Raw genomic sequence first — 26,697 nt, 5'->3', positions numbered from 1 at the left:
TTTCTGGGATGATAGGTCTTTTTGGTGGACTCTGCCATTTAATTAATAGTAGCTTCACTTGATAGGTGAGAAAAAAAATCCTTGATTTTCCCTTAAAAACTCGATTAATATCCCCCAGGTCAGCAGAAAATTTGAGGCCACTATCCTCAATCACCCACACTTGGAGATTGTTTTGGAAAGGAAAGTGGTATTTATTTGTGCGTAATGCCATTGAACACAGTAGGAAAATCCTTAGACTAAATAATAGCACCATATCAAAGACTAAAACTTAAACTTGGAAGCTCACACCTTATCTTCTGGTGTTTCACCCACTGAGTTGTTAGAACCATCCTACAAGAAGGTGAATAATGAATAACCTGTATTCCTTATTTTCTTTATTTTCTTAATCTCTCACAATGCTGATTCCCCCTCTCTTTGCCTCCCTTTATTTTTTCTCTTTTTCTTTCCTCCCCTAAAACAAAGGCATTTCCTCTCAAAGAATTGCTTCTGCTACTGTTGCGGTTACTCTCCTTCTGTTGCTCCTTGGAATGTATTGTGAAATGCCAGACAAGATGACTCAGGGAGAACAGGGGGAAAAATTTTGCAAGTCTTGGTCCCACATAGTGTATGTAATAGACTACTATTAAGGAGAGTTTATTTTGCCAAAGTCATTGGAATAATATGCTGATAATATTTTCCACTATCAAATGCAACACCACGAGGACACGCAAATGATGAATATGAGCAGGAAAATGTCCTTAGTAGCTTAATTTGTGGAAGGAACATGGAAGTGGGGTGTCACAGCCTGGCTAGAAACTCTGTACACATTTAGACAGTGAAAAAAATATGAACTTGGTCTAAGAAATGAAACCAAATGAGGACATATGTACTTAAGAGACCTGTGCTTTTCATTTAGTGAAAATATGCCCCTGAGTTCTGTCAATGTAATTTTAAATGTATTATTTAATATTTGAACTTTGGCCACTGTTGCAAAGAACACTCCAGCATGGAAACTCAACAATTCCAGAAATTCCTTGATCTCAATATCCCCATTTTCATGGTTCAGAAATAGCATTTCCCTCTTGGGTGGAGATACAAAGGGGACTGGGAACAGGGAGAGACAGCAAGGGTTGGGGTTGGAAGAAGGGCCAAAGAAAGATGAAAAGATGAAGAAAATAATTTTTTTACACAGCGCTTGCTTTTACTAGGCTATTAAAAAATGGTTTCACAACTAGAAGCAAACAATTTAACAATTAATGTCAAAATTCCATAATTTTTCTTTTGTCATAAGTACTAAAATTATATTTTTAGAAGGGAGTGGACAGCAGGCTATGACTCATAATATCATCTCAGATTGCATAATGATTTAACTTTTCAGTCATTTTATTGATGATCGTATTTATTCTTTGTAAACCAAATATATTTTCTTAATTTGCATAATTTCCAAACTCAAAAGAAGGACTCCCTAGATGACTAGTAGGTTTACAGAATAGTCCAATGCCTTTCACGGGATGCCTGGAGGGTTCTGCATTGTGTCCATGTGATTGATGCTCCTTGACTGTACAGTTGTGAGTGGAGTCAGGGACAGCCTACCTCTTACATCCTACCTTGGGATGAAGTCCTCAGTTTACTCTTTCACAAATTGAGAGTTAGACTAGATGTCTTTTAAGAATACTTTTCCTTTGAAATTTTAAGGTTTTCATACTAGATTTTCAAACTATAATGAAATATCTTGGAGAGCAGGCGAGGCATACCTGTTTCAGGAGAAAAATAATAAATAGTCTATGGATGGGCAGGTCGGGGTGCGGAAAAAAGTCCTCTGCCAAAAGTCACAGCTGACTGTTTTGCCTGTCTGCTTTGAGTAAAAACTATTTTTTCATAACACTTTGACAGAAGGTCAAACTGGCCAGACAAGACTGAGCATGCAGATATTCTTGTGATAACCCCAAATTCCCATGTATTTTGTTTCTTCTTAAAAGATGAAGAGGTGAAGCTTGACGTATGTTGTTTGCCAAAAGACACTTACTTATTAATAACCAAATTGTGCCTCCCAGTAGTCACTGGCTTATTTGAAAACTTTGAAACAGGTTGTGGCGATCTGAGTACTTAGATTGAATTCTTTATACTTCCAGGAAACTTTAAAAGCTATTTCTCCCTTTCTTCTATATTAAGTATAACTTCACATCCAAGTGTCTAAGACACTTACTAAATCTATTGGCACTATTTCTCTTAGATTCAAATCATGTAAGTTGTCTGGAGAAAGGAAGACCATGGAATTATTGGAGATGAGATGGATTAAGAGGAATAATATGGGTTTTGATTCAGAGTTGAGGCTGGATCCTGGTTCCACTCTTTACATGGGCAAAGCACTTACACTTCCTAAGCTTCTCATTTCTCATATATTTAATGGGAATAGCAATACTTCACAGAACTGAAGTGAGACAAAAGAAGTATGGGAAAGTTTAATACAATGCCTGGTGGATAATAAATGATACGTAGCTCTCATCATGATAAATGTTAAGTCTTGTTTGTATAACAAATAATAAAGACTAAAATAGGGATTGACAAGCTTTTTCTACAAAGAGCAAGACTATAAATATTTTAGGGTTTTCAGATCATACAGTTTCTGTAATAACAACTCAACTTTTTTGTTGTAGCACAAAAGTAGCCGTAGACAATAAGGAATGCATGTGTGTGGCTGTGTTCCAAAAAACTTTATTTACAAAAATGGGAGGTACAGCAGATTTGGCCCAGGAAGTATAGTTTGCCTAACTCTGGGCTAAAGTGGCAGACAAATTATCTTTAAGACAATCAATGTTACAGTATTATATTTCTAATAGTCTCCAAATGAATTATCTCCAAAGAAAAATTGCATAGTAAATTTATCTCCACAGGCAATTCCAAATGTCCTGTTTGGTAGGCAAACTTCATGAATTCTAAATCACGTTCACTCACAAGTTATTCTTTGTGTGAGATGACATTTGCCACTTTATTGTTTAATCCGCTAGTCACTTTTGATGACTAAATTACAAGTGGAATTTACAGCTGTTGAAATCACATGCTAAAGTATATCAGGAAAATCCGGGGTTCAGAAGATCAATTTTCAGGGCATTTCACAGCAAATTGAAATCCACAATGAAGTGCCACACACATTTTCCAGATAAGAGAAATCTTTGATGTTAAGCCTTTCTGACAGTATATAAAATTTGTTAGAGTCTGCCTTTGTTGAAAATATGAAAGCCTCAAATATTTGAATGATGGACTACAATTAACAAAGTTATGTTAATCTGTTTAAGATTTGTACAACTGTTTTAACCATACCATTCTTTTTCTTGGTATTCATTTTATTTTCAGGTCTTATGAGAAGTTTTTGTGTTATCAATTATAGTTTTATGTGATCACATTGAATTCTGTTCAAGCTATGGAGAAACAGGTTTCAATAGAAACTAAATTCAATCATTTTTAAATACACAGCCAAGAAGAACTATGTAAAATTTAAAAAATGAAATGACTATGATTTATCATTCGCTGATTTAAGATCTTTATTAAACTGGTGTCTCATACTCAAATCTAAACCTCATGGAGTGAGAACTGTGGTGCTGAGTCATCTTTATTTTAGGGATTTTACTTTGTTTCTCTACTGCAGAGTGGAATCTGATGGAGTGCAACATTGCTGAGTTTTTTTGCCAGAAGCTATTCTCAAATCAAGGAAAAGAACATATTTTCTGTGATTAATCAAAAGCTTAATTGCTGACTTCAAAACTTCAAAACTTTAATTTGTCTATAAAATCTCCTTTTGCTTTATGCCATGATACAAAAGTTTCATTAGTTTTCTTTGTTATTACCTTTATATTACCACAGGAGTCCAGAGACTTGTGGTAGCTACCTTACTTTCCTCTGTGTAGACATGTTGGGTAGCAGTGACAGTGCAGTACTGTGCTGCTTCCCCTCCCAGTCCTGCTCTCGCCTTACCTCACAAGGGAAATTTATGGACAGCAATTTTTTTTGAAGGGTGGAATAGCATATTTGTCTCAAAGCTATATTTGCATAGCAAGCAGACTTTTTCTTTAGTATGTCTCTTTGAGGTGGCTTGATGGAGACTGGTAGAGATCATGGAGTTTTTATGGTCCCCCAGGCTACTCCTTGTTTTAACCATTATCCTTTCCAGCAGCCTCAATTTTCCCCAAAGTCCTTATATTCTCTACAGTCTTCTTGCACACAGCCATATTATTTATGCCATGCCACACAGGAATTGCTGACATTTTTTTACTTGCTTCTTATTTCCTATCCATGTCAGAACTTCTTGCTTTTTTTTAAAGTAAAGAGGGTGTATGAGGCAAAATTATATCTCACATAAGAGTTTCTCAGGAACCTTGTCTCTACTAAAGATGTACATAACAGCTGTCCAGTTAAGAGCTGTTCCCACAACAGTATTCAGGAATATTTCCTGAGGATGAAGAAGGAGGAATTCATCCTGTAGACTAGTTCACCAGTGCTGTGATTTTAATGAGCTTTGATTGTAAACCTAGATTTTTCCCCAACTATTAAACAATACTGTTGAACTGAATTGATTTAAAAATAATCTTCTTTATAGACATCCCAACTCTTCTTTTTCTACATGTAATGCATAAAGTTTATTTCTATATTATAATAAGAATATTATTCACAAGGTTTAAATTAGCTATCAAGACTTAAAAATCAGTAGATTGCACATAAACATTCTTTTTTATGGCTTTCATAGGAATCTGTTATTTAACATCATTGGGATGGTCTTTCTCCTTGTAAATTTTAAGGGCGAAACTGTTTCAATGTCAAGTTGAAGGGCTGAGGAGGCAGTTGGTTCTGAGGATGGCCCAATTTTTGAGTTCAACTTGTACTATCAAAAAAAAAAGGGGGGGCAGATAAAAATTGATGGTCTTTGAGTAAATTCTGTATAGAACTTTCATAGTTCATGCTGTGAACTGCCTTGATGTCAGCAGTTTTCTTTGGCTGTTTCAGATTGAGGTTTCCTTTTTCCCCATAGACAGGATATTTGTTGGCACATTTGCTGCTTTGGCATCAACAGAGACAGGAGATTCCACCACAGCAAGCAGGAATTGGGGCAGGAAAATGGTGGGTGCTAACCAGTGGCCAAGGACACTACTTGCAGCACATTCATGGAATATATTTGTAGATTCCGCAAACAATGAGCGGCGAATGTAAGAGGTTTTTGTTTCCAAAGGATAATTTTGTAAAAAGACAGATAACTATAAATTATGATTTTTTTTTAAATTTACAGGCTGGTATTACTTTAAAATATGAATTATCTATGTTATGTTTTATATTACCTCATAGATCTCTGATTGAGGGATTTCTTAAAGTCTTCAGAGAAATTATATTGCAAAAGAGTGCCAAATATATGTAGTATAAATGTTATTATCATCATTAATATTTTAGTATTGTTCTTGCATATTCTAAATGAAGAGGGTGTCTTAAACCATCAATCTTCAATTCAATTATTGTATTCAGAATGGTAATAAAAACTAACATCATTATACATTGTAGAGGCTAGATACCAAATTTTATAATAAAAGCTTTTCCTGCTTTTTAGATGACACTTTCAAATCCATATTGCTTTTGGAATACATTCTTACCAAGAGCAACGCTGACTGCTTGGGACTGCTTAGTCAACCTTATACACTTTTTAATATATACAAGGAAGACATCCCAACATCATTCTTATTAAGATATAGTTAGCATCATCATTGCATGAAAGAATTTAGTTGCCAGTGCTATTACTTATGCAGTTTCTGTTCTTAGCACTAGCAGCTTACTGACAGGAAATGTCAAATAAAATTTTCTTTTCCACTTTCCACCCTAGTCAGCTAAATAATATGAAAACTATTTGCCTTGCCACCTAGATCAAACATGAAGTATTTGCAAAATAAATTACCTGTGAGGTTATTTGTAGGCCAAATAAAATCCTGGAAAATGTGTGTATATGGAAAGATAATGCAAGTCAATGAAAAGAATAACTGATATCCAGAGTAAATAATAAGTATTGAAAAATTTTCCAAGTTGGAAAAAATGAATAATTGAAAAGGGATTTGCGTTTTCTTTTCCACTGACTTTATTTTGAAGACAAGAACTCTGTGGAGAAATCTCCAAGTGAAGCTGCTATTTCCTAGTCTCACATTTGATTTTAATGCTCAACTTTTGACAAATAAGAAGGAATAATATTTCTGCTAAGGTCAGATGTTTCTGTGGTTATATCTGGCCCTGAAATATAAATACCCTCAAAAAGAAAGAGTTCATATCATGTTCTTATACACTTAAGGTTGTTAAAAAGTGCGTATGTATGATTGTGCATATGTGTGTGTGCATATGTGCATGTATGTGCAGAAATTCATTCTGCAAACAGAATTTTTAACGTTGAAATATGAGGCTTTTCCTGTACAAGTTGTACATAATTTCCCCAGAAATTAGTGCAATAAATTTTTGCATGTATGCTTGTGTAAGACAGAGAGACCTTTGGATGCAAGAGAAGTGTTTTATTTGTCTTTGGATCCCAAGCACCAATAGAGTGGACACCTCATAGTAGATATTCAATAGATCTTCCTGATGATTAAATCTTGTGGCCAGAGGCCGGGCGCAGTGGCTCACGCCTGTAATCCCAGCACTTTGGGAGGCCGAGGTGGGCGGATCACGAGGTCAGGAGATCGAGACCATCCTGGCTAACACGGTGAAACCCCTTCTCTACTAAAAATGCAAAAAATTAGCCAGGCGAGGTGGCGGGCGCCTGTAGTTCCAGCTACTTGGGAGGCTGAGGCAGGAGAATGGCGTGAACCCCGGGGGGTGGAGCCTGCAGTGAGCCCAGATTACGCCACTGTACTCCAGCCTGGCCGACAGCGAGACTCCGTCTCAAAAAAAAAAAAAAAAAAAAAATCTTGTGGCCAGAAATTGCCAATGGCATTTGATATTACAAACTAACTGGTTCTAAAAAATATATAATTAGAGGTGGCAATACAATGGAAACATGTATTTGAAGTAAAAAGTAATGAAAATATCTGGATTCAAGAACTGGTTCTCATAAGTTACTACTGTATGGCCTAGATTATTGTGCCTTCAGTGGATAAAAGGAGGAGGGTAAAGAAGTGTAAAAATAGTTAAATAAAAAGGCTACATGGGGATTATTAATTTTTAGGTAATTTTTCAGTCATTCAAAAAATGTATTTTAAGTTCTTACTATGTGTCAGACACTGTTTTTGGGTGATGGAACTATAGAAAGATAGCTTTCTGTTCTCAGGAAGTTTACATTCCAGGGAGAGTATATTATGTTATATTACATGACATTATACTATACATTAAGTACTATATCTTTGCAATTTATGCTATATATTATATAATATATTAAGTAATATTGTGTCGATAGACATTTTAGAAAGTGTATTACTACTATGTTAGTGAGATTATATACATATGTATATGTGTGTGCATATATATATTATATAGACACAAAAATAATTAGTATGAAGAAAAATAAAGCATTGTGAGATTATGGTGTTGACATTCTAGATGAGATGGTCAGAGAGACGACATTAGAGCAGGGCCCTGAAAAAAGTATGTCAGTAAGTTATAGAAGAAATAGGGGTAGAGTATTATAAGCAGAGGGAAACTGAAATGAAGTCTTAAAGAAAGACTCAGCTTTATTTCTTCAAGAAAAAATAAGAACTTCTGTGTGATCAAGCATCGTGAGTCAAGTGAAGCATGGAAGGCCATGATGTTGGAGAGCTGGGCTGAGGCTGGACTGTGAAGGGGCTTTCTATGCTGTGCTAAGTGCTTGGAACTCAGAATAAGTCAGTCATCGATACATAATACATAATCAGTACCTAAATACCAATGAAAGTCAATAGACAGGAAAAATTCCCAATGACTGAACCTAGGGAACTCCTGTATTTAGAATTGTGAAGAATGATGAGGGACCATCTGTGTCAAATATCACTGCAAGATTGAGGAAGACAAGGACTGATAATTGTCCTTTGTATTTGCTGCCCTTCATAGGAACAGTTTAGTGAAGTGCTGGAGACAAAAGCCTGAAATAGGAACTTTGGGACTTGGAATGAAAAATGAAGAAATTGAGCTATTGAAGGAAGGGATGTGGGGGAAATGAAATCTTTCTTCTAAGATGGGAGCTATCATTTCATACTTGTAAGACAACAGGATTGGACAGATGGAGATCGTGATGGGGAGAGTATTCCTGGAAGAGCAAACTTCACTAGCAATGATCACAGGTCTGGCTAATACTGAGGGTAGAGGGGGGAATAAGAGTCATATTGTCTGATCTTATCAAGTTTAGTCTCAAATTTCCAACCCTAAAAGCTACTGAAAGCACTTTGCATTATCAATATTGAGATGGCAATATAAAATAATATTTTTGTACTTTTTCAAAGTTGTACCCTATGTAAACAGTTGATAGTAGAATATAATAGAGCCTAAAGTCAACAAGTAGCTTCAGTTCCTCTTGAATCAGCCTTACAAGTGATGAGTTATGGGTTGTTGGTAAATATGTAACCACAAACTCTCTGGAGAAAAGAAAACACCCTGATTTACAATGACTGCCAATTATTGTAGTGTAAATACTCTTACCATGGATGATTTAGGCTACCAACTATTTAACAAGCAGGTTACAACATTCCTGAGTATTTAACAAGCAGCTCTCATATGTGTAGGAGTCAGCTCCTGCACACCATGGCCAGTTATAATTTCAAAATTACAATCCCTCCTTGAAGACAGAAACTGTGCCTGGTCCATTTCTCTATCTCTTTAAGCACTGAGTATGTCGATTTACCTAATGTAGCCACACACTAAATATTTGGTGAAAGAAGGAAGGATGGCAGGTGCTCTGACTAATATCTGGAATAACATCTGCAACTGCAACTCTGCCTAGAACACGCTTGCCTGATTCTGCCTTACATGACTCACCTTAATTGTCACATTGTTAGAAGGGTCTCTCTACTTATTCTAAACAAGTAGATTCTTCACAATTATTTTATCTCTCTGCACTCTGTTTACTTTATTCATAGTATTCATCATGATTGTTATCATTTTACACCATTTGTTTATTTACTTATCTAACTAACCTACCAGACTATAATTACAAAATAGAGCAGGGACTATTTTATTCCCAGTGCATAAATGGCACTCAGAATAGCACCTAACCCATAATACACAATTAATATACTTTCACTAAGTGTTTTTACATGATTTATCAGTAAAAATCAGGCTATTTAACAAAATATTTAATCTTATTGGTAAATTATTTTGATATCTACAATATCATTATTCTTTATTTTCCATTTTCTTATTAAAATAGAAAGTTCATGTTGTTAATGTTCACCAACTTTGTTTTCTATATATAGATGTCATTGTCATTTTGAAACTGTGTAATACTTTGTTAGTTTTATATTCTAGAATGTTATCCATGTTCTCTGTGCTTATTTTCGAAATTCACATATGCTGTCATACACACATTAAAAACAGAGGCAAACACCAGTAGACAAAGAAAAAGACATTTATCCTACTAACATGCATTAGAAAATGTGAATTTTTATATACAAATAAAATACCAAAGACCTCTTTCCTGATACAGCTACAGAGACCTCCAGCGTAGGATTATACAGCCTTGCTCACCTGTTTTTTTATGATGCCCTTTGCTAACACTGTTTCCTCTGATTGGAATGTCCTTCTCATCAGAGTCTCCACCATCAAAATTCTACTTCTTAACAAATGCCATCTTTACTGTCCAGTTGTGAAATGTTTCTCATTTTCATACATCACTCACTAAAAAAATGAGTATTTACTAAGAAACATCTATGTATGTTTCCGGGACTAAGTAATTACAAGTAATTCAAGATAAATAAGATAATGGCCTGGCTGCAAGGAGCTTACTGTACAGATGGGATTCAGACAAATAAGCCCATGGGCTTCACACAGGGTCAGGTGGGAAGCGCTAATCAAATTTGAGCAGTCAGGAAATGCTAGAAAAGGCAGTGGTTATCCTGAGTCATATCCTCTCCAGATGTGTTTTCCTCTTCATTCAAGTCCTACAAGACATTTATTTTCCTTATGATGTTGGTAAAGTTTTATGCTTATTTAGATATTATAAGTGTATTTTATACATCATGAATATGCTTATTTCTATATGTGTTTTTATTTGTTAACACATCATCTTTATTTCTCATTCATGTCAATTAATTATCTGGCTGGTGGCCTACCAGCTTACTCAGGATCTGGGCTCCTTCCACGTAGTGGTTGCTCCAAATACTCCATTGGCTTCTCTGAGTCTGGCTAGGAGATGAGAGAAGAGAAATATCCTGCAGAGAACCTCAGGAACAATTGCAGGAGTCACCTACCACACTAGATACATTCAAATGGCCATAGGTAGGCACATGTGGCCTCAATTAATTTTACCTATGATTAAACAGTGAACTGAATTATGCAACTAATTTCTAATATAATGGTAATAACCATTAAAGTATATTTATTTATAATACCTTCCCATTCTTTTTATCTGAAAAAAAAAGTTAAAAGTTTAATTGCATACTTTTCAATATTGTTCCTGTCTAGCACTAAGTCCACACATCTGGTAGAGAATTCTCATTAACATTCCATGCTGGGGAGTGAGGTACTCAAAGAGGCACTTCTTCCTTGAGTTAAATATGCAGTCTTGGTCCAGACACAGCTGTGGGTCACCAGGAGGTTTGGCTGTTGAACACAACACTTTCTGTCTTCTGGTTTATAAACACTAATTCAGCAATTTGAAGTGAGAATTTTTTCCAGAATTTTATGAAAATGTGGCATTTTTCAAAGCACTCATCCAAGAAAAGATCTAGCTACAAACTCTATCCATGGACAATACCACCATGTTTCCCAATTTTTCCCTTTAAAAAGTGAATGAATTTGTGTTACAATGCCTTCTAGGTAGAAGTTGTTCCTAGGTACACTCCAGTACCATAGTAAAGGCCAATGACAGCTGTAATAATTTCCTAAATGTTGTATGAACTGAGAATAGGCATAACTGCTAAAGATTGGGTGATCATATAATTTATCTTGTAAGATGATATAAGTTAGCATCAAGTCTGATTATCAACACAGCAAGAATTACATATCATGAAATTGATGTATATGACATAGACATATGAAGCTAAGAAGATCAACATGTGCAATTAAAATATTCCATCATTAGGGTTATAAATTCACTTCTAACAATGCCTGATACAACAGCTGAGCGCCCCCCGATAGAGCTATAATCCATCCTAATTATTTTTAAAATTATGTAACTTTAGCGGTTTATACATACATAGATGCAGAAAGTTTGGAAAATAATGAAAATTATGAAGAATATCTTCCATATACTATAATACCAAAAGATGAGCATTATAAGATTTTGAACAAAAAACCAAACACCGCATATTCTCACTCATAGGTGGGAATTGAACAATGAGATCACATGGACACAGGAAGGGGAATATCACACTCTGGGGACTGTTGTGGGGTGGGGGGAGGGGGGAGGGATAGCATTGGGAGATATACCTAATGCTAGATGACGAGTTAGTGGGTGCAGCGCACCAGCACGGCACATGTATACATATGTAACTAACCTGCACAATGTGCACATGTACCCTAAAACTTAAAGTATAATTTAAAAAAAAATAAATAAAAATTAAAAAAAAAGATTTTGCTATATTTTACGTGTATCTATGTATATATGCATGTCAATATTTGATATAAATGACAATATTTCAAAATATATTTTAAATAAAATTAGGCTTCACATAGTTTTGTGTCCTTATTTTTTTAACTGACTAAGAATTTTCCAACATTGAAAACAAGACTCAGAGTACATCAAATAGAATTCTTCTTTTGCCAGCCACAAATACTGAATTGAACTAATGTAGCAAATATGAAATTAAAGGAAAAATATGAGTGAACACACAAAATCAAAGGGACTTGTTAAGGACAGGAAGCAAGAGTGGAATTGAAAATACCTTGAATGGCATGAAGCACTCTACCTTTCTGAACCAAAGCCAACCACACAGCTGTTGAGCTAGGGATTACCCCTTTATTTATTGGAATAGTGGGTCATGCAGAGGGTACTTGGACAGAGGCTGGGTTAGCTGTGGCAATGAAGGACTCTCAGAGGGCAACAGCTACTTATGAATAAGTTTAGAAATAATTTCATATTTTGAAATTATTTCAAACCAGAAAGGCAGAACAGTGTATCCAGTGGGATGTCAGCCATAGCAGAAATCAGAGAGCCCTGGTGAAACTTATTAGCAAACATTGCTTGAGAGGCTTGTCTAGGCACGAGCAATGAAAGGAAGAAATAAATATTTCATCTTTCCTTTCTGTCCATGGGCAAAATATTCAAACTTCAGGTAAGGACTCCGTTGGCTTACCTTGGGTCAAATGTCTATCCCTTGGCTAAGGGGATACGGGACACCTAATCTCATATCCAGTAGGGGAGAGATTTTTGGAAGTATGATTACCAAAGCAAGGTGGAATGAATACTGCCATTTGTGTGAAGATATCATAGTTTAATTTACCATCTCCTCTTTGTCAGACCTTTGAGGTGTTTCTAATTTTATTAATTATATATATGCTACTATATATATATGTGTGTGTGTGTATATATATGCATATGTATATATAAAATAATACATTTTCCCACTACCTTAATTTTTTAAATTTTTTATTTCATTTTTATTTTAAATAATTTGGTGCATACATAGTAGGTGTATATATTTTTTATATTATGTGTATTATATAACTCCATAAATCTTTGCTCTTAACTCTGATTTTTAAAATTGTTTGTTTTTTGTTCAGAATGAGCAATTGCGTAAAGCTGAGTCCTGGAAGGCTGCCTGTAGGGGGCAGTATGTGGTCTGGCCTTAAGGACAAACGGAATTTTCACCGGAGAAGACTGTGGCGGGGGCTTTTCAGGAGGAATGAATAGGAAGAGTACAGGAGGCTGTATAGCAGCAGGTGGCTTTGTTTGGTTGGAAAACACTCCAAGTGAAAAGGCATTGTGAAGAATGGAAGAGCTACTGAGAAACCAGCCTATGGAGTTTGGCTGTCTCTCCTAGTCACAAATAAGGAGCTGTTACTGGTTTTTGTCAAAAGAACAGGATGATCACATCTGTGCCTTAGGACACTTTAGATGGGGCAGAACAGGTACAGGGGATGTGGTGGGGGAAGAAATGACTCGATTTCAAACAAATCAAATAAATTACTTTGATGTTTAAAAAAAAAAAATAAAATTGTTTGTTTTTATAGAAATAGTGTTACTGGGTAAACAGGTATGAAAATCATTGAACTGAGATATAATGGGAAATTACTTTCTACAAAGATGGTACCAACCTATATTCTGACTAGCAGTGGTTTAAAGTGCTCTCAAGAGTACTTGATAATACATTTAATTTTTTTTTTGTACTTACAATGGGCCAGTAACCATTTCAGTCTCCAGAAATATGGTGGCAAACATACATCTTTGCTACTGTAGAGCTTAAATTCTAAATAGACAAGAGCATTTCACAACTGGTAAGTGCTATAAAGAAAATTAGGGGAAGAAAGTGGAAAGTTATTGCCATCTGAGGCTATAAGCACATTAGATAAAGTGACCAGGAAGATTCCTTTGAGGAAGTGATATTTAAGCTGAGACCTGAATAATGAGAAGGATCTACCCCATGAAGACCAACGGGAAGAATTTTTTTTTTTTTCCCACTACCCTAATTTTTACTTAAAAAAATTTTGTGAGTACGTAATAGGTATACATATTTTGGGGGTACATGAGAAGTTTTGATACCAGCATGGAAAGTGAAATAAGCATATCATGGAGAATGGGGTATCCATACTCTCAAGCATTTATCTTTTGAATTATAAACAATTCAATTACACTCTTACAGTTATTATAAAATGTACAATTAAGTTATTATTGACTATAGTATCCCTTCTGTTGTGTTGAGTAGTAGGTCTTATTCGTTCTTCTAACTATTCTTTTTTGTACACACTAACTGTCCCTATCTCCCATCCAGACTCCCACTACCCTTCCCAGCCTCTGGTAACCAACTATCTACTCTCTATATCCATGAGTTCTACTGTTTGATTTTTAGATCCCACAAATAAGTGAGAACATGTGATGTTTGTCATTCTGTGCCTGGCTTATTTCACTTCACATAATGATCTCCATTTCTATACATTTTGTTGCAAATGACTGGATCTCATTCTTTTTTATGGCTGAATAGTACTCCATTGTGTATCTGTATCACATTTTCTTTATCCATTTATCTGTTAATGGACACTTAGGTTGCTTCCAAATCTTACTTATTGTAAACAGTGCTGCAACAAACATGGGAGTGCAGATAGCTCTCAATATATTGACTTCCTTTCTTTGGGGTATATACCCAGCAGTGGGATTACTGGACCACATGATAGCTCAATTTTTAGTTTTTTTGAGTGTATTAGTCAGGATTCTCTAGAGAGACAGAACTAATAGGATACATGTGTATATAAATGGGAGTTTATTAAGGAGTATTAACTCACATAATCACAAGGCCCCACAAAAGGCTGTCTGCAAGCTGTGGAGCAAGGAAGCCAGTCTGAACCCCAAAACAGAAGAACCTGGAGTCCAATGTTCAAGGGCAGGAAGCATCCAGCATGGGAGAAAGATGTAGCCTAGGAGGTTAGGCCAGTCTAGTGTTTTCACGTTTTTCTGCCTGCTTTTATTCTGGCCATCTGACAGCTGATTAGATGGTGCTCACCCATATTAAGAATGGGTCTGCTTTTCCCAGCCCACTGACTCAAATGTTAATCTCCTTTGGCAACAGCTTCACAGACACACCCAGGAACAATACTTTGTATCCTTTAACCAAATTGACACTCAATATTAACCATTACATTGAAGGACCTTCAAACTGTTCTTTACAGTGGTTGTACTAATTTACATTCCCACCAACAGTGTGTGAGGGTTCCCTTTTCTCCACATCCTCATCAGCATTTTTTATTGCCTGTCTTTTGGATATAAGTCATTTTTACAGGGGTGAGATGATATCTCATTGTAGTTTTGATTTTCATTTCTTTAATGATCAATGATGTTGAGCACCTTTTCATATGCCTGTTTGCCAATTGTATGTCTGCTTTTGAGAAATGTCTATCAAACTTTTGCCCATTTTTTTAATCAAATTATTAGATTTTTTTCCTACAGAGTTGTTTGAGCTCCTTATATACTCTGGTTATTAATCCCTGGTCAGATGGGTAGTTTGCAAATATTTTCTCCCATTGTGTGGGTTGTCTCTTCACTTCGTTGATTGTATCTGTTGCTGTGCAGAAGCTTTTTAACTTAATGTGATCCCATTTGTCCATTTTGGCTTAGGTTGCCTGTGCTTGTAGGGTATTGCTCAAGAAATACTTTGCCCAGACCAATGTCCTGAAGATTTTCCCCAATGTTTTTGTAGTAGTTTTATGGTTTGAGGTCTTAGATTTAAGTCCTTAATCAATTTTGATTTGATTTTTTTTGTTTATGGTGAGAGAGAGGGATATAGTTGCATTATTCTGCATATAGATATCCAGTTTTCCCAGCACCATTTATTGAAGAGACTGTCTTTTTGCCAGTATATGTTCTGGCACCTTTGTTGAAAATGAGTTCCCTGTAGGTGAATTTGTTTGTTGGTTCTCTATTGTGCTCTATTGGTCTATATGTCTGTTTTTATGCCACTACCATGCTGTTTTGGTTATTAAAGCTCTGTAGTATAATTTGAAGTTAGGTAATGAGATAACTCCAGTTTTCTTCATTTTACTTGGGATATCTTTGGCTATTCTGGGTCTTTTATGGTTTCATATAAATTTTAGGAATGTTTTTTCTATTTCTGTTAAGAATGCCATTAATATTTTGATAGGAATTGCATTGAACCTGTAGATTGTTTAGGGTACCATGGACATTGTATCAATTTTGATTTAAGAACATGGAATATTTATTCCTTTTTTGGTGTCTTCAATTTCTTTCATCAGTTCTCACAGTTTTCATTGTAGAGATCTTTCACTTATTTGATTAGGTTAATTCTTTGGTATTACATTTTATTTGTGGCTATTGTAAATAAGATTACATTTTAAATTTCTTTTTCACATTGTTCACTGTTGGCATATGGAAATGTCACTGAATTTTGTATGTTAATTTTGTATCCTGAGTCTTTACTGAATTTGTGTATGAGTTCTAATAGTTTTTGGTATCATCTTTAGGTTTTTCCAAATATAAGATCATATCATCTGCAAACAAAGATAATCTGCCTTCTTCCTTTTGAATTTGGATGCCCTTTATTTGTTTCTCTTGTCTGATTGTTCTAGCTAAGACTTCCAGTAGCGTATTGAATAACAGTGATGACAGTGGGCATTCTTCTTGTGTTCCTGACCTTGGAGGAAAGGCTTTCAGTTTTACCCCATTCAGTATGGTACTAGCTGTGGGTATGTAATATATGGCTTTTATTATGTTGAGGTATGTTCCTCCTGTCCTGAGTTTTTTGAGGATATTTACCATGAAGGGATGTTAAATTTTATCAAAAGCTTTTTAAGCATTAATTGAAATGATCATATGGTTTTTATTCTTTAGTATGTTTATATGATGTATCACATTGATTGATGATTGCATATGTTGAACCATTGTTGCACCCCAGGAATAAATCTCACTTAGCCATGATGAATGATCTTTCTAATGTATTGTCGAATTTGGTTTGTTAGTATTTTGCTGAGAATTTTTGTATCACTATTCATCAGAGATATTAACCTGTAGTTTTATTTTTTTGATGTGTCTTTGGTTTTGGTATTAAGGCAATATTGGCCTCATGAGATGAGTTTTGAAGTATTCCCTTCTCCTCTATTTTTTGGAATTGTTTGAGTAGAACTGGTATTATTTCTTGTTTAAATGTTTGGTAGAACTCAGCAGTGAAGCCATCAGGTCCCAGGCTTTTATTTTTTTATTTTTATTTTTATTTTTTTACTTGGAGCCTTTTTTTTTTACGGCTTTGATCTTGTTACTTGTTATTGGTCTATTCAGTATTTGAATTTCTTCTCGGTTCAATTTTGGTAGGTTGTAAGTATCTCAGAATGTTTCCATTTATTCTAGATTTTCCAGTTTGTTAGCATATATTAATAGTTCCTCATAGTAGCCACTAATGTCCTTTAAATTTCTGCAGTATCAGTTCTATTAACTTGTCATTTCCAATTTTATTTAGATCTTCACTCATGTTTTTTTAGTCTGACTAAAGATTAATTAATTTTGTTTAATTTTTCAATACCTATATAAGGTGATGGATATGTTAATTAGCTGGATTGTGGCAATCATTTCACAATATATATGTATGTCAAAACATATTGTACACCTTCAATATATATGATTTTCATTTGTCAATTATATCCCAATAAAGCCAGAAAAAAAGAATCTCCAAAACAAAAAACAAAACAAAAAACAAAAAAACAGCATTTTGTTCCATTGATCTTTTCTTTTTTTTTTTACATTTCAATTTCATTTATTTCTGCTCTGATCTTTATTATTTCTTTTCTGCTACTAGTTTTTGGTTTGGTTTGCCCTTGCCTTTCTAATTCTTTAAGATGCATCATTAGACTGTTCATTTGATGTTTTTCCTGTATTTTGATGTGGCACTTATAGCTATAAACCTCTGTCTTAGTGCTGTTTTTTGCTGCATTCCATAGGTTTTGGTATGTTGTGTTTCCATTATCATTTGTTTTGAGAAATATTTCAATTTCCTTCCTAATTTCTTCATTCACCCACTGGTCATTCAGAGCATATATGTTTAATTTCTATTTATTTGTATAGTTTCCAAAATTACTCTTGTTAATTTCTAATTTTATTCCACTGTGGTCAGAAAAGATATTTGATATTATTTTAATTTTTTAAAATGTTTTAAGACTTGTTTTATGACCTAACATACAGTCCATCCTTGACAGTAGTTCACGTGATGAGAAAAAGAATGTGTTTTCTGCAGCTCTTGGATGAAATATTCTGTAAATATCTATTAGATTCATTTTGTTTATAGTGCAGATTAAGTCTGATGTTTCTTTGTTGATTTTCTGTCTGGAAGATCTGTCTAATGCTGAAAGTAGTATGTTCAAGTCTCCAGCTGATATTATATTAGGTCTATCTCTCTCTTTAGCTCTAATAATATTTGCTTTATATATCTGGATGCTCCAGAGTTGGGTGCATATATATTGAAAATTATATCCTCTCATTGAATTGACCCCTTTATCATTATGTAGTGACCTTCTTTGTCTCTTCTTACAGTGTTTGTCTGAAAGGTCACATATTTCTGTTTCTTCAGGATTGGTCCCTAGTACCCTATTTAGTTCATTTGGTGAAGTCATGTTTTCCTGGATGTTGTTAATGCTAGTAGATGTTCTTCGGTGTCTGGGCATTAAAGAGTTAAGTATTTATTGTAGTATTCACTATCTGTGCTTATTTGTACTTGTCCTTCTTGGGAAGGCTTTCCAGATATTTGAAAGGACTTGGGTGTTGTGACCTGAGCTGTATCTGCTTTAGAGGGCACCCCAAGCTCAGTAATGCTGTAGTTCTTGAAGACTCATATATGTACTGCTTTTATCATCTTAGACAAGAACCAGGAGAACTATCTGAATTACCAGAGAATTGTTGTAGACTCTTGTTCTCTTCCCTTACTTTCTACCAAACAAACAAAGTCTCACTGTCTGTTTTAAGCCATCTAAAGCTTGTGGGTGAAGTGACACAAGCAACCCTGTGGCCACCACCCCTATGACTGCACTGGGTCAGACTTGAAGACAGCAAAGTGCTAGGTCTTGCCCAAGACCTTTTATAACCACTCCCTAACTACTGCCTATGTTAGCTCAAGTCCCTGGGGCTCTACAATCAGCAGGTAGCAAAGCCAGCTAGGCCTGTGTCCTTCCCTTCAGGGCGGTGAGTTCCCCCAGGTCCCAGTGGGTCCAGAAGTGCTATCTGGGAGTCAGGGACTAGAGTCAAAAACCTTAGAAGTCTACCTGGTATTCTATTGTATTGCAGCTGAGCTGGCACTCAAACCGCAAGTTGTAGTCCTTCCCACTTTTCCCTCAACTTTCCAAAAGCAGAGATACCTCACCCCATAGCCACTGCCACCACAGTCCACAAGGGGTACTGCCAGTCTGTCGCTGACATTCCCTAAAGTTCCAATGTCTCTTAAGTTAGCTTATCGTGAATGTTGCCTGGCCAGGAACTCATTCTTCAGGGCAGTGGGTTCCCTCCTGGCCCAGGGCAGGTCCAGAAATGCTGTCCAAGAGCCCACTTGGTGTTCTGCCCATCTGTGGCCTTTCTGGTACCTACGGTGCAAGTCAAAATCCCCTTTACTTTTCCCTCTGATTTTTATAAGCAGAAAGAGTTTTGCCACATAGCCACCACAGCTGGTAATGTGCTGAGTCTCACCTGAAACCAACAAGTCTGAGAGACCCATCCAAGGCCCTCAATGTAGTACTTGGATATCACTGCTGGTTATTCAAGGCCCAAGGTAGCATCTTCAGGTAGTAGGTGATGAATACTGCCAGGAATGGGACCTTTACTTCAAGGCAGTGGGTTCCCTTCTAGCCCAGGATGTGTCTAGAAATGCCTTGGAGCTGCGGCCTGGAATGGGGGCCTCACAACTGTGACTGGTGCCCTATCTTGCTGTGGCTGAGCAGGTATGCAGGAAGCAAGACAAACACCTCCCCCTTTTTTGCTTTCCTCTCCTAAAGCAGAAGGATAAGATCTCTTTTGGAGCTGTGAGATGTGCAGGCTGTGGCTAGGGGAGGGGTGACGCCAGCACTCCCTCGGCTGCCCCAGCTGGTGTCTCAGTATGTCATGTGCCCTCCCAGTCCACTATCTCTGGGCCTAGTTCAGCACTGGGCCTTGCCTAAGAGATGCAGTCCTTATGGCCTAGACTGTCTTTCAAGTTTCCTTGGAGACACAGAGTGCTATAGCCTGTTGTGGTGAGGCTTGTAGGCACTTAAGTTCCAAATGCTGGGATTGGAGATTCCCTTCTGGCTGGGGCTGGTTTAAGTGCTTCCTCTATGGGTGGGCGTCAGCTGAGTTTGGTCTGGTTTTCCTTTCTACTCTCCTAAGATAGCCCTGAGTTCAATGCCTTACAAATACTATGCTGTCCTTCCCCTAATACCCAGAGATTGTTTCCCAGCACCATGCCACCTCTGCTGAAGGGCAGGAGAGGGGTGACATCAGTGGCTCAGGACTGTTTTTTCCTATCTCTTCAGTGCGTCTTTCAGTGATATGAAGTTAAAACCAAGTACTATGAGTGCCCACCTGATTTTTGGTTCTTATCAAGGTTTTTTTCTGTGTAGATAGTTGTTAGCTTGGTGTCCTTGCTGAGGGGATGATTGGTGGCACCCTTTACTCAGCCATCTTACCCAGGAACAACTTTCTTAACTGGAGGAACAGCAAGTGCTAATGACCTAAGGCAGGAAGGGGCTTAATACGTTTAAGAAAGGAAAACATGCCAGTGCTGCTGAAGATGAATGAACAAAGTGCCGAGTAGGAGAAGATGAGAAGAGCAAGATACGGGAGGGCCAGATAATGCAGTAGCTTCCCCAACAAGGGCAGATATTGAGATTTTATTTAGTTATTGAAGAGTTTTAAACAGGACAAGGATATTATATTCATTTTCTAGGGTTGCCATAGCAAAGCACCAAAGACTTGGTGGCTCATAAAATACAACAGAAATGTATTTCCTCACAGTTCCAGGGGCTTTAAGTCCAAGATCGAGGTGTTCTTAAGATGAAGGTGTTGGCAGGGTTTGCTTCTTCTGAGGCCTTTCTCCTTGGCTTACACATGGCCGTCTTCTTCTGGTGTCTTAGCACAGTCTTCTTTCCATGCCTGCCTGTGTCCTACTCTCCTCTTCTAACAAGGACACCAGCCATATTAGATAGGGTCCACCCACATGGCCTAATTTTTACCTTCTTTAAAAGCTCTGTCTCCAAGATATAGTCACATTCTGAGGTATTGATGGTTAGGCCTTCAACATATGAATCGGGGGAACAAAATTCAGCCATAACAGTTATGATGTGATTTCTTGTTAAAAAGACAATATCAACCCCTCTTTAGTTTTTCTGTGGAGAATGGATTGTAGGGAGGCAGGAGTGGAAGTAAGGAGATACATTAGGAGGTATTTGTAACAATTCAGAAGGAGGTATTTATAACAGTTCGGTTAGAAGATGATAGAGACTTCAACAAGGCTGGTAGCAGAAAATGGAAAGTATTGAACAAATTTGGGATATGTTTAGAGGTTAATGGAACCAGCAGCTCTTCCTGATAATCAGTGTATTAGTTAGAGGGGGCTGAACTCTGGTACCAAATAGCCAGTGTGTGTTTGTGCCTCTGTGTGTATGTATGGACTTAAATAGAACTTTATTCCTCACTGTTGTACCAACCCAGGGAAGATTTTTTAATGTGAATTGGCAGCAGTCCTACAAATGATGATTCAGAGACTCAAATCTTTTCATCTTTTGGCTGACAGATATCCCCAGGAGCCTTATGATCATTTTCTCTAACTTTAAAAAGCAAGAAGAGAATATTGGCTTGAACTTCCAAAACAACTTTGGACAACAATGGTAAAATCTAGAATCCTTGCCATTTTCTTAATTTTAATGAGTATGCATACTGCCTTTTCTGTGGAATATAATTTATATTAATATGTGGTTGAAAAATGAATTCTGTATTCCGTTAGTTTGAAAAATGATGGTTAAACAAAATAGTCTGGTCTCCTCACTGGTAGACTTCTTGGAGCCTTTAAAATGCTATAAATTGTATAACACCAAGAATAGGCTGCCTTATCCAAAATTTTGACCATGTAGCCTCCTTTATTTAAGGAAACAATGTGCAAGATTGGTGTACAAAAAGCCAACAATTTGGGAAACAGTTGTTGAGCTCCATTTTAAGTACAAATCTGGCTATTAGTTTAAGGTAGTTTTTATTATATTAAGTATGGAACTTTCTGTTCCTACTTATTTAAGAGTTTGTTTTATTCAAAAATCAGTATGTATTAAATTTAATCATAAAATGGCATAAAAATCTATTGATATTACCATATGTCTATTTACTTCCAACCTATTGATAATGAGGTATTTAACTAATATTTTTGTAACATCGTACCGTCCTTTAATTCCTAAGATAAATTCTACTTGTTAAAGTGAATAGGTCTTTCTATGAGCTATTGAAATGTGTTAATTAAATATTTACCTAGAATTGTTGCATCACACAAATATAATTGTCTTTAACTTTATTCTTTTTGTGCAATTTTTAGCTTTTAGTATCATTATGAAGCTAATTCAAGCAAATGGTAGTGGCTGTACGTTGTTCTGAATCTTTGGAACGAGTCCATATTATATGAAATTTTAAAGAATGCCCCATAATGGACCTGGAGCTATCTTTATATGTAATTCTTTGAAAAAAAATTTTAGTTGCTTACATGGTTGTCAATCTGCTATTTCCTTTGTGTTTTAATTTTGCTATATATTGACTCATTTTTAATTATTTTTAATATCTATTTCACACATCTTTTTCAAAATTAACGAGCAAAAACTATTACATAGTTTTCTTACACTTTAGCAAATCTCTTTATTGTTGATACTTCCACATTCTCCTTTCTATTTTTGTTTTACTTCTGTTTTCTGTTTTTTGCCTAATTTTATTATACTGCCCCCCCTTTTTAAATTTTACTGCTAGCTTTTTCTAAAATAACCATATTTTAGATTTATTAATCTTTTAATGTTTCTATTTAATTTATTTATTTGTCTTTTGTAAAACATATGAAATCTTTCTTTTTCTCCATTTATTTAAACTTCATTAAGAACCTACATTTATAATAGCCAAATGCCTTTTTTAGGGCATCTTTACAGAAGACTAAATTTTAAAATTCACTTGCTATATTCCTTTCTGATTTTTGCCTTATTAACTATGAGTTAGCCACTTTAATCTTTTCCAAATATAATATATATTTAAATTAAATAAATATTAATAATAAATATTTAAAATGTTTCAGTGTTTGAGAAACAAGCTTTAATCTATATTTTTCTAATTATCAAAATCAAGTATAGTACAACTTTGACTACAATTTATAAATCAATGCTATTTACAACTCTTTTACTTTCCTCATTTCTCTACTTTCTAATAATTTCTAACTATGTGCCCTAAATATTATCCTTGGATTATTTCACTAAATATATTTTAATATGTTTTTAATATATTTAACTGTATTGTCATATTACTGTTGCCAGTGCTATTCCCCTAGCATTTCAATAGTGTCTTTCCTCTCTTGAGTCTTTTCTTATGTTCATCTTTTGGTTAGTTGGCATATTTGTTCAAAAAATGTTTTCCAGAGACATGTAGATGACAATAGGGTTTCTCTTGAGGTGGAGGGGAACTACCTTCCTCCTTCTGATCATTTTTTTCTTGCCCTAGAAGCTTAGGCATAAACAAGGGTCATTTCTTAATCCAGCATATTAATTCTATAGTTAAGATAATTTATCATGTAATTGACAAGTCATCAGTCAATATCCTGCATTTCTAATATTTTGAGATTTATGAATTTTTTGAATGAGTCTTAAACATGGAAAGTTGGAGAATCTAATCTCATCCACAATCAGAATTAAATATTAAAGTTTAGGAAGAAGACAGCATCTCTGAGATTTCTGTGTTTATATTGCAAGGGTCATAAAACTTTTTCTCTAAAAGGCCAAATTGTAAATATTTTAAGCTTTGTGGGATATACAGTCTTTGTCACAATGACTCAACTGTGCAGTTTCTGTGTGAAAGCCGCTATAGACAACATAGAACAAATGGATGTGGTTGTATTCCATCCGACTTTTTCAATGTCAGGTGTCACGCCAGATTTTTGCTCCACTATCAGTGTTTTATTGACTCTTCCTATAGTCCATTGCAATGTCATGATTAAATTGACACCATTCTGTCAAATAGTCTGTTACTGAGTTTCTGTGGCTGGCACAAGGCATTGGGATATTTGTAATGATCCCTGATTTCATGAAGTTTTCAGATTTCAGTCATGCAAATAGCCTAAGACCATAAATTGATTACAACCTTTGTCTTCAGTACAGCTACAATGTATTGATTCACAGCTATTTAGCAGAATGATGACAGACAAGATGTACATGATATTTTCCATGGAATAATATCATCAATGAGTATAGTCAATTTGCCCTAGTTATTACACCTAATTAATTCTTATTCTCAAGGGAATGAATCATGGCTTGAAGGTATGCATTAATAAGGTGAACACTCTGCTGATGCTGACCAATAAGAAGAAAATATTAAGATTAAGTTAAAATTGAGATGAAGTCATAGCCAGTCCAAACATGCTGGTTTGGAGTAACATGTTGGGCTAACATAGCCAGTCAAAACTTTCTATTTGATTAAAAGGTGTACAGACATTCAGGACAGAGCTGTGAGGGCAAGACAAAGATAAAACACCCTAACATTGGAGTTTGAATTGGGCCTCTGAAAGAATTTCCTTACCTACTGAGTAAATGTTTAAAAACATCCATTATTTTCACTATCGCTTTCATTATCCACTATCCATAATCACTATTCATTATCCACACATCCATTATGTTCATTGTGGAAGAATGAAGTTCTCCACCTTTGGTAGTTCAAATCATTTTCCTGAACTTTGAGAAAGACAAGCAGATCAGTGGGCATGTTCCTTGGAGAGGAGCAATGATATAACTCTCATTGATGAAAATACCTCAGGGTATTTTATTTAATTAGTTAATTTATTTATTTTTAAATTTTTATTTTTGGAGGATCATATTAATTTTCAATTGCTGTCATAGTGAAATCATAAACTTACTGTCTTAAAACAACAGAAATTTACTACCTTACAGTTATGCAGGTCAGACATCTAAAATCAAGGTGGTGGCAGGGCTGCATTCTTTCTGTTGGCTCCAGAGGAAATCTGTTTCTTTATCTTTTCTAGCTTCTAGAGGCTGCCTGCATTCCTTGGCTGTGATATGTTCAGGAGGCCAGGAAATACTGGGTAGAAGAGCATGGGGTCCCATGCAAGGGCTCCACCCTCAAGCCTGGGCCCCTGGCCCTAAATGAGAACTTCACATCCCTGTTTTCCCACCCGAATGCTGCTTTTTGGCTTGTCCTCCCCGCTATCCTATGCCCATATAAACCCCAGATCTCAGCTGGCAGAGAGACAAGCTGCTGGATATCAAGAGGAGAAGAAACTACTGAGAGTTGTCAGAGACTATGGATAGACACAGCTTAAATTCAGATGGCACAATTTCAGAGAGGAGGTGTCCAGGCTTTAGGGGAAGATCACCTTCTTCCCACACCATCCCCTTACCAGCGCCCTTCCACCAGAGCCACTTCCATCACTCAACTAAAAACTCTGCATTCATCACCTTGCAAACCGTTCATGTGACCTGATTCTTCCTGGACACCAGACAAGAATTCGGAATGCACTGAGTGCAGGAACACAAAAAGACTGTCACACTGGTCCTTTGCCCTTGCTGGCAGAGGGCAGCCACCCCATGTGATGAGGCAAAAGCCCTGCTGAGTTGGTAACACACCCTTTGGGGCACTGGGGATTGCCGGCACCCCCGCTTCCTGAAAGTCAGCAATAGAAGGCCGAGTACCTCTCATCTCACATTAATCTGACCTTCTCTTCTGTCCCACTTCTTCCACTTTTAAGGTCATTACATTGGATCCACCTGCATAATCCAAGGTAATCTCCATATTTTAATGTCATCTGATTAGCAACGTTACTTCTCTCTGCAAACTTCATTCTCCTTTGTCATATAGCCTAGTATATTTACAGGTTCAAGGAATTAGGATTCAGCCATCTTTGAAGCCATTTTTTCTGTGAAACACAAGGATAAAGTTATGCATAGAGTTAAATAAATTAAATTGAACTTTCCAATAGAGGTATTGATGGGTCCCTAGTCATCCTTACATCTGGTGTACCTGAAGAACGAGGCCAAGCATTTGTTGGAGAATTAGAGTATGCACTCAATTTTATTCTCAAAGCCCTAATTAGGATATCTTATTTACTTAGTGGTTAAAAACATGGGCTCTAAAACTAGAGAGCCAGCACCTCCAGATATAAGGCCTTAAATAGCTGACTTAGCCCTATAATTCAGTTTATTCATCTGTAAAATGGGGATAATAAAAGATCTATTTACCTTGTATAAAGTTGTTGGAATAATCAGAAGAGATAGCATCTAACCTCTTAGAAGGATTTCTGGAACATGGAAAGAGCACATGTACCAAGAGCAAAGGCACAGGTGACTGACTTACTTAAAGGATAATTTATTCCTCCCTTAATATTGTTTGCCTGGAGCACACAGACAAGGAGATAGGGAGTGGGACAGGGTGGGTTTTCTTAACTTTGATCTGGTGTTCATATTATTTTTATTGTGGAAGAATGAAGTTCTCCACCTTTGGTAGTTCAAATTCAAATCATTTTCCTGGACTTTGAGAAAGACAAACAGATCAGTGGGCACGTTCCTTGGAGAGGAGCAACAAGAAAATGCTCCATGAGACTGCTCTTCCTTGAGATGACCTGCATCCCCCATTTGGTGCAGTTTGATATATGAACTGGTAGAATTTGGAATATTGAATTCCACTCATTTTTGTGGTACTCTAGGCCACTCTGATATCCTCTT

At 36.1% G+C, this 26,697-nt stretch overlaps 2 long non-coding RNA genes across 2 annotated transcripts in view; one reads left to right on the top strand and one right to left on the bottom strand.

The window, feature by feature from the left end:
* LOC105377858 (uncharacterized) overlaps window positions 1-13,277 on the top strand; it is a 140,187-nt gene extending 126,910 nt beyond the window's left edge. The window contains exon 3 of the long non-coding RNA NR_187974.1: window positions 12,844-13,277. This is a non-coding gene — a long non-coding RNA (uncharacterized LOC105377858). The remainder of the gene's footprint in view (window positions 1-12,843) is intronic.
* LOC101928516 (uncharacterized) overlaps window positions 1-26,697 on the bottom strand; it is a 621,277-nt gene that overhangs the window by 83,272 nt on the left and 511,308 nt on the right. The window lies entirely within an intron of this gene.

This window comes from Homo sapiens, chromosome 6, assembly GCF_000001405.40.
Source record: "Homo sapiens chromosome 6, GRCh38.p14 Primary Assembly".
Classification (NCBI taxonomy): Eukaryota; Metazoa; Chordata; class Mammalia; order Primates; family Hominidae; genus Homo; species Homo sapiens.
The sequence above is the reverse complement of the archived record's forward strand: the minus strand, read 5'-3'. Positions and strand labels throughout refer to the sequence as shown.